The following is a 14,990-nucleotide window of genomic DNA, read 5'->3' as shown; positions in this document are numbered from 1 at the left end:
ACCTTGTGATCCACCCACCTCGGCCTCCCAAAGTGCTGGGATTACAGGCGTGAGCCACCGCGCCCGGCCTGTATTAGATATTTTTAAGTCAGTTTCCTAAGACAATTAAATATTTCAGGTAGTTGGGACTTTTCTTTTTTTGGTTTGTTTTATTTTGCTTAATTTAACCATTTTAAATATGATTCTCTGGGAATTTTTTCTTCAAAATATAGAATATGTGTGCATTAGTTTGCTAGGCTTGCTGCAACAAAGTACCACAAACTGGGTGGCTTAGACAACAGAAATTTATTATCTCATAGATCTGGAGACTAGAAGTTCTAGATCACGTTGTTAGAGTTGGTTTCTTCGACAACTGTGAGAAACCTTATGTTCCATGCCTCTCCCCTGGCTTCTGGTGGTTTGCTGCTCATCTTTGGCATACTTTGGCTTGTAGGTGCATCACCTGGATCTCTGCCTTCATGTTCACATGGTGTTCTACCTGTGTGCATATCTGTGGACAAATTTCCCCTTTTTATAAGGATACCAGGCATATTGGATTAGGGTTCCTCTCTACTCCAGTAGGACCTCATCTTCACTAATTACATCTGCAATAACCCTTTCCAAATAAGGTCACATTCTGAGGAACTAGAGGTTAGAGTTTCAACATACGAAATTTTCTGGGGGGTGGGTAAGGGACACGATTCAATCCATAACAATATGTTTATGAGTAAATGAGTTAGTGTGTTATTGTCTTTCTGCCACCTCAGAATCTGAGAAAACAGTTTCTTTTTCCATTCCTTGGGCTGTAGGTGGAGAAGGAGGAGGATGATGATGGTGATTATTTTTTGGTCATGCCCCATAATGTGACCCACTTTAAAAAACAACAAACAATTGTAAGGAGGAGAACTGTCATACACCTACTGCCCAGCTTAAAAATAATTAGATCATCTTCTTTAAACATAACTGTCATCCCATCATCACACCTAAGAAGTTGACAGTTTCCCCAGTTTTTTTTTTCTCTTTTTTTTTTGAGATAGGGTCTTTCTCTGTTGCCCAGGCTGGAGTGCAGCGGCATGATAGTGGCTCATGGCAGCCTCATCTTCCCAGGCTCAAGGGATCCTCCCATATAGCTGGGACCACAGGGGTGCATCACCACATCCAATTTTTTGAATTTTTCTAGAGATGAGGTCTCCCTGTGTTGCCCCACCTAATTTTTTTGTTGTTGTTGTTCCATTCTTTTTTTTTTTTTCTCCTGTTTGTAAGGATTTAATCAAGGTCTGTATGTAGTTTGGTTACTATGTCTCTTAGGTCTCTTTTCGTTTATAGATTCCCCTCGTGATTTACTGAAGAAACGGGGTCATTTGTCCTGTAGAATTCTCAAATTTTGATTTTGCTGATATTATCCCCAGAGTGTCATTGACCATGTTCATCTGTTCCCCAAATTTCCAAAAACTGGTAGTTAAATTTAGGTGGTTGATCTGATTCAGATTACACTCTCAGTATCGCATATGCTTTGATCAGGAGGCATAATGTGTACTTGTGTGTGCATATGTGTGTTTTTTTAGTGATGTTAGTGGTCACTGCCTGTGTCAGCATTTCACTACCAGGGTAATTTGGCAATGTCTGGAGACACACTGATTGTCACAGCTTGGGAGAGGGAATGCTATAGGTACCTTCAGGGGTAAGAGTCAGCACAGCACAGCACAGCCCCCTAACGCAAAGTATTAATAGGCCTAAAATGTCAGTAGCCCTGAGGTTGAGAAACTCTGGCCTACTTTTGTAGTTTCATCAGGTGTTTGTGAAATGGTTTTATTCTAACTGTTATTTCTTCTTTCTTTGTTAGCTGGAATTCTTTCATAAAGAGAAACTCTTTGATCAGTTAGTTACCCAAGGTACAGTTCATACAGAAAAGGCAGGATGTATGTTTGATTCTTTCCTAGTTTTCAAAATAATGAATTAGTTCCCTAGCATCTTCCAAAATTGACCAATGAACTTTGTGTGTGTTTTTTTCTTTTTTAGTATATTATGAACTTACACGTTTTAACATATTTGTGTTTCCTTTCATCGCAGTTATTTTTATTTTATTTTTATTTATTCATTTATTGTTTTGAGGCAGGGTCTTAACTCTGTCACCCAAGCTGTAGTGCAGTGGTATGATCGCTGCCCACTGCAGGCTTGACGTCCCGACCTCCAGCAATCCTCCCACCTCACCCTCTTGAGTAGCTGGGACCACAGGTACACCATCATGCCCAGCTAATTTTTGTGTTTCTGGTAGAGACGGGGTTTTGCCGTGTTCACCAGGCTGGTCTTCAAATCCTGAGCTCAAAAGCAATCCACCTGCCTCTGCCTCCCAAAGTGTTGGGATGATAGGCGTGAGCCACCGCACCTAGCAGTTATTTTTATTGGTGCTCGTTTTTTCCCTTCGTTGAATGCTGGGTGCAGTGAATGCTGGGTGCATCTTCATGTTGGGTTCTGAGTCCTTTTGACATGAGCACATTGTCTGGTGTTGTACGAGAGAGCAAAATAAGGAAACTGGTGTTCTATGCTTATCTTGTACATTTTCCCCACACTTGGAATCAGCCATTCCTCCAGGGAGTGCAGGTTCACAGTCTGGGCTCTAAGAGAATTATAAGGTCAATGTGGTCATCATCTTTTAGTATTAAGTCAGATATTCTAAATTATTATTTACTTCTTACATTTGGCCCAAGAGTTTAACCAGATATTTTGGGAAAGAGAGAAGGAATTAAATAAATAAATCTCATGGTTAGAACTGAAGTGATAACTATACTTTCACAAGGAAATATAACTTATAACCCATGCGGAATAGAAAATTATTTTTGCTCCTTTAGATTTCTGAAGGAATGAAATGAGCTGTGGGAAGAAACTTTAACTGGAGCATCTTACCAGTATTATTCATGTTTTAACTCTGCTTCAGTAGTTTTTCAGGTTTATTACAAACCTGCAGTAGCCAACTGAATTAATTATCTCTAAACAGGGATTTAGCCAGTGGACTAGGCACACTGAAGCTTTGTGAGAGGGGAAATTGATATTCACATTTTTTCCAGCTTGTTTTGAGCTCGATATATTCTTTTTTTTTTTTTTTTTTCATTGAGACAGACTCTCGCACCGTCACCTGGGCTGGTGTGCAGTGGCACGATCTCTGCTTGCGGCAACCTCTGCCTCCCAGGTTCAAGCAATTCTCCTGCCTCAGCCTCCCGAGTAGCTAGGATTACAGGCGCCCGCCACCACGCCCGGCTGATGTTTTGTATTTTTAGTAGAGACGGGGTTTCGCTTTATTGGCCAGGCTGGTCTTGAACTCCTGACCTCATGATCTGCCTGCCTCAGCCTCCCAAAGTGCTGGGATTACAGGCCTGAGCCACCATGCCCAGCCAATATATTCACATTTTTAATAGGAATAACAGTATACTAAAATCTTTTTTAGTGCATGTTTAAGATTTGAAGATGTAATTTGACTCAGTACTTTCCACTTGCATTTTTTTCTTCCACTTGCATTTCTCCACTATTAGAATAGTGCCTGCTAAGACTATTCTAATACTTTATTATAGTTCACCCCTGCGAAAAGAGCTCCCAGAGCTTACAGTGCATTTGATTGATGTCATATGGACTATTCATTATTTTCTAAATTATTTTGTTTGTGTAGAGCAATCTGAAGAGGATGTAAGTCAGTTTGATTCCAAGTTTACACGTCAGACACCTGTCGACAGCCCAGATGACACAACTCTCAGTGAAAGTGCCAATCAGGTGTTTTTGGTAAGTGAAAGAATTTCCATGTAGTCATGGGAAATTTTAAGTATGAGGATGGGCTCTTCGATAAGAAAATTCAGTTTGCTTGCTTTGCAGCTCATGTAGGTAACCTGGCCCACTTTTTTTTTTAAATAAGCCATGCTCTTATAACTTATTGATACCTACAAAATTGATTTTCATAATCCAACATTTTATTTTAGCAATTAGAGTGGGAATGTACAATTCTTTGGAGAGTATGATTCCCTTTTTTGGTTGGGCCACAGACTTAAAATGATGTTTGGCTTAGCATCTCAACCAAAAATTAAGTCATAGCAGTGGGAGAGAAAAACCTCACTAACTACATGTATTTTATTTCTGAAACAGCTATAGATTTTTGGTACCTTTTTTTTTTTTTTTTTTTTTGAGACAGGGTCTCACCTTGTAGCCCAGGCTGGGTGTAGGGTGTAGTGGTGTGATCACAGTTCACTACAGCCTTGACCTCCCAGGCTCAAGTGATCCACCCATTTCAGCCTCGTGAGTACCTGGACTACAGGTGTGTGCCCCATCCAGCTAATTTTTTATTTTTTTGTAGAGACAGAGTCTCACTATTTTACTCCTGGACTCAAGCTATCTTCCCACCTCGGCTTCCCAAAGTGCCAAAATTATAGGCATGAGCCATCATTCCTGGCCCTATTTTTGGTACTCTTAACATAAGTAGGGGATTTTTTTTTTTTTTTTTTTGAGACTGAGTCTCACTCTGTCGTCAGGCTGGGGTGCAGTGGCGCGATCTCAGCTCACTGCAACCTCTGCCTCCTGGGTTCAAGTGATTCTCCTGCCTCAGCCTCCTGAGTAGCTGGGACTACAGGCGCCTGCCACCACGCCCAGTTAATTTTTGTATTTTTAGTAGAGACAGGGCTTCACCATGTTGGCCAGGATGGTCTTGATTTCTTGACCTCATGATCCACCCGCCTTGGCCTCCCAAAGTGCTGGGATTACAGGCATGAGCCACTGCGCCCGGCCAAGTAGGGGATTTTTTAAACCTAATTGTGAATATTTGACATCAAATTATATTGGTTCATATGTAATAGTGAATTCTCGTTGTAGAAATATCCGTATAGATTTATAGCTTGTCTCCTCAGAAAAGTAAAGGTTTTAGATGTTGGCCAACAGAAATGATGGATTTATATCAGATGACCATCAATGCATACATACTATTTTGCTTAAATACCATATATGCTTGTTGATTTTATTACTGTACTTATATGTCACATGAACATCTTTCTCATTTTGTATCCTTTTTTTTCTTTTTTCGTTCCTGTATGGAATACCTCTAGGGAGAATAGAATATGGGGAAAACAATTGTTTGGGAGTGTTTTTTTCCCTCTTTTTGAGTTCACTGGATTTGTCACTAACTTAATTCTATGCTTTTCTTCCCCACACTGCTCACTATATAACACAAGTAGTGTTGTATCTTATGGGATGGGAAATAAGCTCTAAAGTTAGCATGGAGCTGGGACATGGTGGCTCAGGCCTATAACCTTGAGGTCAGGAGTTCGAGACCAGCCTGGCCCACATGGTGAAACCCCATCTCTACCAAAAATACAAAAATTAGCCGGGTGTGGTGGCATGTACCTGTGGTACCAACTACTTGGGAGGCTGAGGTAGGAGAATGACTTGAACCCGAGAGGCAGAGGTTGCAGGAGCCAAGATCGTGCCACTGCACTCCAGCCTGGGCAATAGAGTGAGTGAGACTCTGTATAAAAAAAAAATAATTAAAAAAATAAAGTTAGCATGGAATGCAAAAGTTGTGTATAGTACAGTATGGTTTCAAGTAAACAACACTGAATAGTAATAATCCTATAAATTAGTAATATAGAGCACGTAGGCAAAATATAATCTTACAGTATTAATTACATAAGAGATAAAAGATGAGTGAGTGCATGCATGTTTTTAAATTCAAGTTGGATGTGTGCATGATCAAAGTTACGGCATCTCTGTTAGTAAAATCTTAGGTTCACTCAGGGAAGTGGGCATGAATCACTTTAATTTTGGCTTTTTTTTTCTCTTTCATGTACTACTGATGTGGAATTTATACCTTTGATTTAACATAGAGACCTTTTCATCAATTGAACATTGCAGAATTTCAACTTATGTGACAGTTTCCCCCCACAAAATAGAAGCATTTTATTTAGCTACCAAGAAATCCTAAGTTGTGGTGGTAAATGTGAGCTATTGACGCTTTCATTGCCAGTTAAAAGTATTGTTGAGCTTTTCATAATTACTTAAATTGGCTATAACTGATGAACAGAGCAACTCATTTGTTAGGTTGTAGCCAGAATTCTGTACATAAAGTGGGTCTCTTGAAACATTAGTAAAAACAAAAATAGGCCAGGTGCAGTGGCTCATGCCTGTAATCCCAGCACTTTGGGAGGCTGAAGTGGGTGGATCACAAGGTCAGGAGTTCTAGAACAGCCTGGCCAATATGGTGAAACCCCATCTCTACTAAAAATACAAATATTAGCCAAGTGCGGTGGCACACGCCTGTAATTCCATCTACTCGGGAGGCTGAGGCAGGAGAATCACTTGAAACCAGGAGGTGGCAGTTGCAGTGAGCCAAGATCGTGCCAGTGCATTCCAGCCTGGGCAACAGAGCAAGGCTCTATCTCAAAAAAAAAAAAAATTCCGCATACATAAGAAGAGAATATGCATTAAAAAAATCAGCAGAGCCTCACATTCCAGGATTTTCTACACAAGAAACCATTCCTAAAATATGTGTTTGGAATTACTAGGGTTTCTCTTGCAAACATTTTAATAACACCTCATTTGTTTTTTTTATTATAATATTTATTTAAGCAAAATTTCTTTTTTTTATTTTATTATTTTATTATTATTACACTTTAAGTTGTAGGGTACATGTGCACAATGTGCAGGTTAGTTACATATGTATACATGTGCCATGCTGGTGTGCTGCACCCATTAACTCGTCATTTAGCATTAGGTATATCTCCTAATGCTATCCCTCCCCCCTCCCCACACCCCGCAACAGTCCCCAGAGTGTGATGTTCCCCTTCCTGTGTCCATGTGTTCTCATTGTTCAATTCCCACCTATGAGTGAGAACATGCAGTAACACCTCATTCTTTAGGGGTGTGGTTATATGTGTCATGTTATTAGATCTTTACAGCAACTCTCCTGGGTAAAGCGGTTATTACTAGGTCATTTTATAGAAGGAAAAATAACCAGTACTTTTTTTTGCTTTACTTCAGTAGCTATTGCCTCCTTCAATTTGACATTTCAATCCTGGCACATAGTGGGGGCTCAACAAATATTTGCTGGAGGAATGCCATTTAAAATACAGTGATTGGATAGGAGAATATTTGAGGGCATTAACAATTTTTAAAAGCCAAAAAAAAATTACAATTGGACTTATGAGATTTTGATTTTTTTGTGTATTTTCTTTTAAAAAATAAGCTTCTCTAAGCTGGGCTTGGTGGCTCATGCCTGTAATCCCAGCACTTTGGGAGGCTGAGGCAGGTGGATCACCTGAGGTCAGGAGTTTGAGACCAGCCTGGCCAACATGGTGAAAACCCGTCTCTACTAAAAATACAAAAATTAGCTGGCCGTGGTGGCACACACCTGTAATCCCAGCTACTAGGGAGGCTGAGGCAGGAGAATCGCTTGAACCCGGGAGGCAGATGTTGCAGTGAGCCAAGATCACACCACTGTACTCCAGCCTGGGTGACAGAGCAAGACTCTGTCTCAAAAATAAATAAATAAAGTATATAAATAAATAAATAAGCTTCTGTTTTGGCTTCCTCCAATGTAGTCTCTTTGAGTAGGAAGAAATTGTTATGATTCAAACTAGTAAATTCTTTTTTTTTTTTTTTTTTTGAGATGGAGTCTTGCTCTTATTGCCCAGGCTGGAGTGCAGTGGCGTGATCTTGGCTCACTGCAGCCGGCTCACTTGAACCGGGTTCAAGTGATTCTCCTGCCTCAGCCTCCCAAGTAGGTGGGATTACAGGTGCCTGCCATCACGCCTGGCTAATTTTTGTAGTTTTAGTACAGATGGGGTTTCACCATCTTGGCCAGGCTGGTCTTGAACTCCTGGTCTTGATCTGCTGACCTATATCCGCCCGCCTCGGCCTCCCAAAGTGCTGGGATTACAGGTGTGAGCCATTGCGCCCGGCCGACAGGTAAATTCTTATATCAAAAAACTGAGTTAGACTTGGTCCCTGGAGCTGTTTTCCATCCCTAAAAAGATGATGTCAAGCTATCATGTATAATAAATAACAACTCAATTGACCACATATTTTCCTTTAAGCCTAATGATGAAATAATATTATAATGAAATACTTAGAAGTTTTAAGGGAAAAAATCCTTTAAGTCATTAAATTAAAATTGAAACCAAAACAATAACTTCACTGTTTTAGGATAAAATTGGCATATGAAAGGTTTGATAGTGAACGACAGTAAGATTAACCTACTACAGCATTTGCCTTTAGCTTTTACTGAGTAATACTTGGAGCTATATATTTATAGCATTTGCTATAAATGTGCAAATGAAGACATTATTTATTGTATTACTGCTGAGATTAATATTGTCTTTTTCAGATTTCTAAAACATTACAGCAAATGCGCACATGAGGGCGCTCTAATCAGCTAGATGTGGAGAGGGTAGGCATTTGTTGACTGTTAAGTCAAAACTAGTTCTATACTTTTACAGATGGAAAAATCAAGGTCCACCAAAGAGGTTATGATGTTACACGAGTTATTCTCTAGAGGAAACAAATTGGGTATTAGAATTTTGAAAAGATTAAACAGAAATCCCTGTCAGTGAATTTATGCTGGAGAATTTTGACTTTTATCCTAGCAACTCCTTATTGAAAATCTTTACCCATGCCATGATATAATTTATCTTCAATCTTAAATGGGTTTGGTAATAGTGTTTATAAGATGTAGGAGAGTTAATTAGAATATTTATTTTTATGAACTTTTGCTTTATAAAATTAACAAATGTTAATTGTGCTTCATTTATACTTTTTTTTTTTTTTTTGAGACGGAGTCTTACTCTGTCACCCAGGCTGGAGTGCAGTGGCGTGATCTCAGCTCACTGCAACCTCTGCCTCCCAGGTTCAAGCGATTCTCCTGCCTCAGCCTCCCAAGTAGCTGGGACCACAGGCACGTGCCACCACGCCTGGCTAATTTTGGTACTTTTAGTAGAGACGGGGTTTCACCATGTTGGCCAGGGTGGTCTCGAACTCCTGACCTCAAGTGATCTGCCCGCCTTGGCCTCCCAAAGTGCTAGGATTACAGGTGTGAGCCACCAACACCTGGCCCATTTATACTTAAGGCTGATTCTCAACTGATTTGGGTAAGATCCTTAGTCTTTCCCCATCTCTGAGGTAATTCCTAGTTTGTCCTTTGGCTTTCCTGTGTATATAAAGCTACCAGGCTGCTTGCAGATTTTTCGGGGAATAAGTCCCATAAACACTCACAAAGATTTTATTAGGGAGAAGCTATGATGCGAATATAGAATGTAGATTTTTTAAATTTCAAAATCAGTATGGGCCGGGCGCGGTGGCTCACGCCTGTAATCCCAGCACCTTGGGAGGTCGAGGCGGGCGGATCACGAGGTCAGCAGAGCGAGACCATCCTGGTTAACACGGTGAAACCCCGTCTCTACTAAAAATACAAAAAATTAGTGGGCGCAGTGGCAGGCGCCTGTAGTCCCAGCTACTCGGGAGGCTGAGGCAGGAGAATGGCGTGAACGCGGGAGGCGGAGCTTGCAGTGAGCGGAGATCGCGCCACTGCACTCCAGCCTGGGCGACAGAGCGAAGACTCCATCTCAAAAAAAAAAAATCAGTATGTAGAGCTGGGCATGGTGGTGTGTGCCTATTAGCCCAGCCACTGGGGAGGCTGAGGCAGGAGAAGCCCTTGAGCCCAAGAGTTCAAGACTAGCCTGGGCAACACAGCGAGACCCTCATCTCGAAAAATAAATAAATAAATAAATAAATAAAGTATTGCAATATTTATTATATAGGCAAATTTTTTTCAACTTAAGTGCTACCCTCATCAGGGGAAGATTTGTTTGATTAGATCCCCACACAGGCTGGCCGCTTCCTCATTTCTACTTTTTCTTTTCTTTTTGAGATGGAGTTTTGCTCTTGTTGCCCAGGCTGGAGTGCAATGGCGCAATCTTGGCTCACTGCAACCTCCGCCTCCCGGGTTCAAGCGATTCTCCTGCCTCAGCCTCCCGAGTAGCTGGGATTACAGGCACCTGCCACCACACCCGGCTAATGTTTGTATTTTTAGTAGAGATGGGGTTTCACCATGTTGGCCAGATTGGTCTCAAACTCTTCAGTTCAAGCGATCTACCTGCCTCGGCCTCACAAAGTGCTGGAATTACAGGTGTGAGCCACTGCGCCCGGCCTCATTTCTACGTTTTCAAAGAAGTCAATTTTCTTTAAAAAATAAACTCTTTTGGCCACGCGGCGGCTCATTCCTGTAACCCTAGCACTTTGAGACTCAGAGGCAGACGGATCGCTTGAACTCAGGAGTTCAAGACCAGCCTGGCCAACACGGTGAAACCCTGTCTCTACAAAAAATTAGCTGGATGCAGCGGCACGTGCCTGTAGTCCCAGCTACTCAGGAGGCTGAGGCAAGAGAGTCACTTGAGTCCAGGAGGCAGAAGTTGCAGTGAACTGAGATCACGCCATTGCACTCCAGCCTGGCTGATGGGAGTGAAACCTTGTCTCAAATAAATAAATAAATAAACTCTTATTTTTAAAAAAAAAAAAGCAAATCATGAAACAAAACAAAACCCAGGGCTCTGAATGAAAAAGATCTCTCCTTTAGGGGGCTAGGTGATGGAAAGGAAAATAGGTCATGAATTTCATGTTCTCATTTGTCTTCGTTAATGACTTGTATGTATATATATTTCCATTGAAGACATAGATATGCATTTGATCACCTACACTTGTTTGTATTTTGAGTCATAAATTAAGGCATTTCCTGTCCAGAAAGCACCTGACAATCTTATGATAAAAAACATGGAATTTTAAAATCACAAATGCAAATAACAAGCCAGGCACAGTGGCTCACGCCTGTAATCTTAGCTCTTTGGGAGACCAAGGTGGGTAGATTGTTTGAGCTCAAGAGTTTGAGACCAGCCTGGGTAACATGGAGAAACCCTGTCTTTACAAAAAATAAAAAATTAGTGGGGCACGGTGGCATGTGCCTGTAGTCCCAGATACTCAGGAGGCTAAGGTGGGAGGAGTGCTTGAGCCCAGGAGGTCGAGGCTGCTGTGAGCTGTGGTGGCAACACTGCACTCCAGCCTGGGTGACAGAGTGAGACCCTATCTCAAAAAAAAAAGGAGTGCAAATAACAGATGACCTTACAAACATCAAAAGTTATGTCTTTATAATAAGTTTTGTCTACATTTAATGAAATATATTGGACAAGGAAAAAATGTAGCAGTATGCGTATGGCTTTATCTTGGCCCTGCCCACTACTGTGCCCTCATTTCTTTTCCTTCCCACTGAGTCCTTCCACACTACCACACCACAGCAAACCTGACAAGCTTCTGCCTGAAATAGCACCATTGCACTTCTCTTCCCTTTGCCTGAAACATTCTTTTTTTTCTTTTTTCTTTCTTTCTTTTTTTTTTTTTTTTTATGAGATGGAGCCTCACTCTCTCGCCAGACTGGAGTGCAGTGGCACGATCTCAGCTCACTGCAACCTCCACCTCCCTGGTTCAAGCGATTCTCCTGCCTCAGCCTCCCGAGTAGCTGGGATTACAGGTATGCACCACCATGCCCGGCTAATTTTGTATTTTTAGTAGAGACGGGGTTTCTCCATGTTGGTCAGGCTAGTCTCGAACTCCCGACCTCAGGTGATCCGCCCGCCTCGGCCTCTCAAAGTGCTGGGATTACAGGCGTGAGCCCCTGTGCCTGGCCACCACAATCAATTTTAGAATATTTTCATTTCTCTCAAAAAAAAATACCATACCTATGAGCAGTCACTCCCCATTTCCTCCAGCCCTCAGTCCTAGGCAACCACTAATTTACTTTCTTTTAGGATAGGATTTGCCTATTTGGACATTTCATATAAATGGAACCATACAATTTGTGATCTTTTGTGACTGGCTTTTTTCAAGTAACCTAATGTTTTCAAGGTTCATTCATGTTATAGCATGTGTCAGTACTTATTTCCTTTTTTTTTATGGCTCAATAATATTCTGTTGTAGGAATATAACACATTTCATTTATCTGTTTATCACTTTTTTTTTTTTTTTTTTTGAGATGGAGTCTCAGTCTGTCACTCAGGCTGGAGTACGGTGGTGTGATCTTGGCTCACTGCGGCCTCCGCCTCCTGGATTCAAGCCATTCACCTGCCTCAGCCTCCCAAGTAGCTGGGATTACAGGCACGTATACCATGTCCCGCTGATTTTTGTATTTTCAGTAGAGATCGGATTTCACTCTGTTGGCCAGGCTGGTCTCGAACTCCTGACCTCAAGCAATCCTCCCGCCTTGGCCTCCCAAAGTGTTGGGAGACACCACACCCAGCTGTCTCCACTTTTTGACTATTATGAATAATGCTGCTATGAACATTCATGTGTAAGTTTTTGTGTGGACATATGTTTTCCTTTCCCTTGGGAATATGATGAAGCCTGGCATTGCCAGGTCATATGATAACTCTATGTTTAAGCTTTGGAGGAACTGCCAGACTATTTCCAAAGCAGTTCCAACTTCATTGCAAAGCATTTTACATTCCCTCCAGCAACATGTGAGTGTTTCAATTTTTCCACATTTTCTCCAACACTTGTTATTATGTGTCTGTTTATTATAGCCATTCTTGTGAGTGTGAAGTGGTATCTTAACATGGTTTGGATTTGCACTTCCCCGATGGCTAATGATGTTTCTATGGTTTGAATGTTGGAGTCCTCCAAAATTCATGTTATAACCTAAGACCTAATGTGACGATGTTAAGAAGTGAGGCCTTCAAGGTGGTGATTAGGTCATGAGGGCTCTGCCCTCGTGAATGAAATTAATGCCCTTATAAAAAGGCTTCACATAACATTTCTTCTTCTTTTTTCCTTTCTTCTCCTGCCATGTGAAGATGCCACTGCGAGAACGGGAACAATGGAACAGGCCCTCACCAAATGCCAAATGTGCTATCACCTTGATTTTGGATTTCCCAGCCTCCGGAACCGTGAGGAATAAATTTTTTTACTTATAAATTACTTAGTCTCAGGTATTTTGTTACAGCGGCACAAACAGACTAAGACAGAAATTGAGTGTATTTTCTTGTGCTTATTGGCCATTTATTTTCTTTCTTTTATTTTTATTTATTTATTTATTTTTAGGTGGGGTTTTGCTCTGTTGCCCAGGCTGGAGTGCAGTGGTGCAATCTTAGCTCATTGCAACCTCTGCCTCCCGGGTTCGAGTGATTCTTGTGCCTCATCTGCCTGAGTACCTGGGACTACAGGCATGCGCCACAACGCCTGGCTGATTTTTATATTTTTAGTAGAGATGGGTTTTCGCCATGTTGGCCAGACTGGTCTTGAACTTCTGGCCTCAAGTGATCCACCTGCCTTGGCCTCCCAAAGTGTTGGGATTATAGGCATAAGCCACCACCTGGCCCTTATTGGCCATTTGTATGTCTTCTTTGGAGAAATATCTGTTCAGATCTTTTGTCCATTTTAAAATTGGGTTATATCCTTTTTATTATCAAGTTGTAAGAGTTCTTTATGTATTCTAGATCCAAGTCCATTGTCAGATACTGTAGTCTCCCGTATGCTCTCTGCAGTTTCAGTTACCTGCGGGCAGCTGCAATCCCAAATATTACAGTATTTTGAGACAGAGAAAACTATTCATGTAACTTATGTTAAAGTATATTCTAGCCAGGCACAGTGGCTCACACCTGTAATCCCAGCACTTTGGGAGGCCGAGGTGGGTGGATCACAAGGTCAGGAATTGGAGACCAGCCTGGCCAATATGGTGAAACCCTGCCTCTACTAAAGATACAAAAATTAGCCGGGCGTGGTGGCAGGTGCCTGTAGGCCCAGCTACTCGGGAGGCTGAGGCAGGAGAATCGCTTGAACCTGGGAGGTGGAAGTTGCAGTGAGCCGAGATGGCGCCATGGCACTCCAGCCTGGGTGACAGAGCAAGACTCCATCTCAAAAACAAAAAGTATATTCTAATTGTTCTCTTTTATTATTAGTTATTGTTGTTATTCTATTACAGTGCCTAATTTATAAATTAAACTTCATCATAGGTATGTATGTATGTATAGGAAAAAAACATAGTACATATAGAGTTTGGTACTATCTGCAGTTTCAGGTATACACTGGAGGTCTTGGAACATATTTTGTTACATATATATCTATATATTTATAAATATATATTTATATATAGCTATATATTTATGTGTCTATATATCTATAAATATATGTTTATATATCTATATTAATCTATATCTATATATGAATATATAGGTAGATAGATAAATATATACATATATATATATATATATATTTTTTTTTTTTTTTTGAGATAAGGTCTCGGTCTATCGCCCAGGCTGGGATACATTAATGTTATCTTGGCTCACTGCAGCCTCAACCTCCTGGGGTCACGTGATTCTCCCACCTCAACCTCCCAAGTAGCTGGGACCACAGGCACATGTCACCACATCTGGGTAATTTTATTTATTTATTGTAGAGATAGGGTATCCCTATGTTGCCCAGGTTAGTCTTGAGCTCCTGGGCTCAAGTGATCCTCCCACCTCAGCTTTCCAAAGTTCTGGGATTACAGGCATGAGCCACTGTGTCTGGCTACATATTTTCCACAAATAAAGTGAGCCTACTTTGTACATAATTTGCAAGTATTTTCTCCCATTCTGTGGGTTGTCTTTCACTTTTTTTTTCTGGAGTCCTCCAAAATTCATGTTATAACCTAAGACCTAATGTGATGATGTTAAGAAGTGAGGCTTTCAAGGTGGTGATTAGGTCATGAGTGCTCTGCCCTCGTGAATGAAATTAATGTGCTTATAAAAAGGCTTCACATAGCATTTCTTCTCCTTTTTTTGCCTCAGCCTCCTGAGTAGCTGGGATTACAGACGTGTACTACCATGCATGGCTAACTTTTGTATTTTTAGTAGAGACAGGGTTTCACCATGTTGGCCAGGCTGGTCTCGAACTCCTAACCTCAGGTGATCGGCCCGCCTCGGTCTCACAAAGTGCGGGGATTGCGGGCGTGAGCCACCATGCCC

General features: G+C 41.3%; 1 long non-coding RNA gene across 1 annotated transcript; it reads left to right on the top strand.

Moving 5' to 3' along the window:
- The first annotated feature begins 494 nt into the window (after positions 1-494).
- LOC102723819 (uncharacterized) lies at positions 495-12,924 on the top strand. Its single transcript, XR_429957.3, has 3 exons — positions 495-630; positions 3,643-3,750; positions 12,840-12,924. It is a non-coding gene; the product is annotated as an uncharacterized LOC102723819 (long non-coding RNA).
- Positions 12,925-14,990: the final 2,066 nt, after the last annotated feature.

This window comes from Homo sapiens, chromosome 17, assembly GCF_000001405.40.
Source record: "Homo sapiens chromosome 17, GRCh38.p14 Primary Assembly".
NCBI classification, from domain to species: domain Eukaryota; kingdom Metazoa; phylum Chordata; class Mammalia; order Primates; family Hominidae; genus Homo; species Homo sapiens.
The sequence above is the reverse complement of the archived record's forward strand: the minus strand, read 5'-3'. Positions and strand labels throughout refer to the sequence as shown.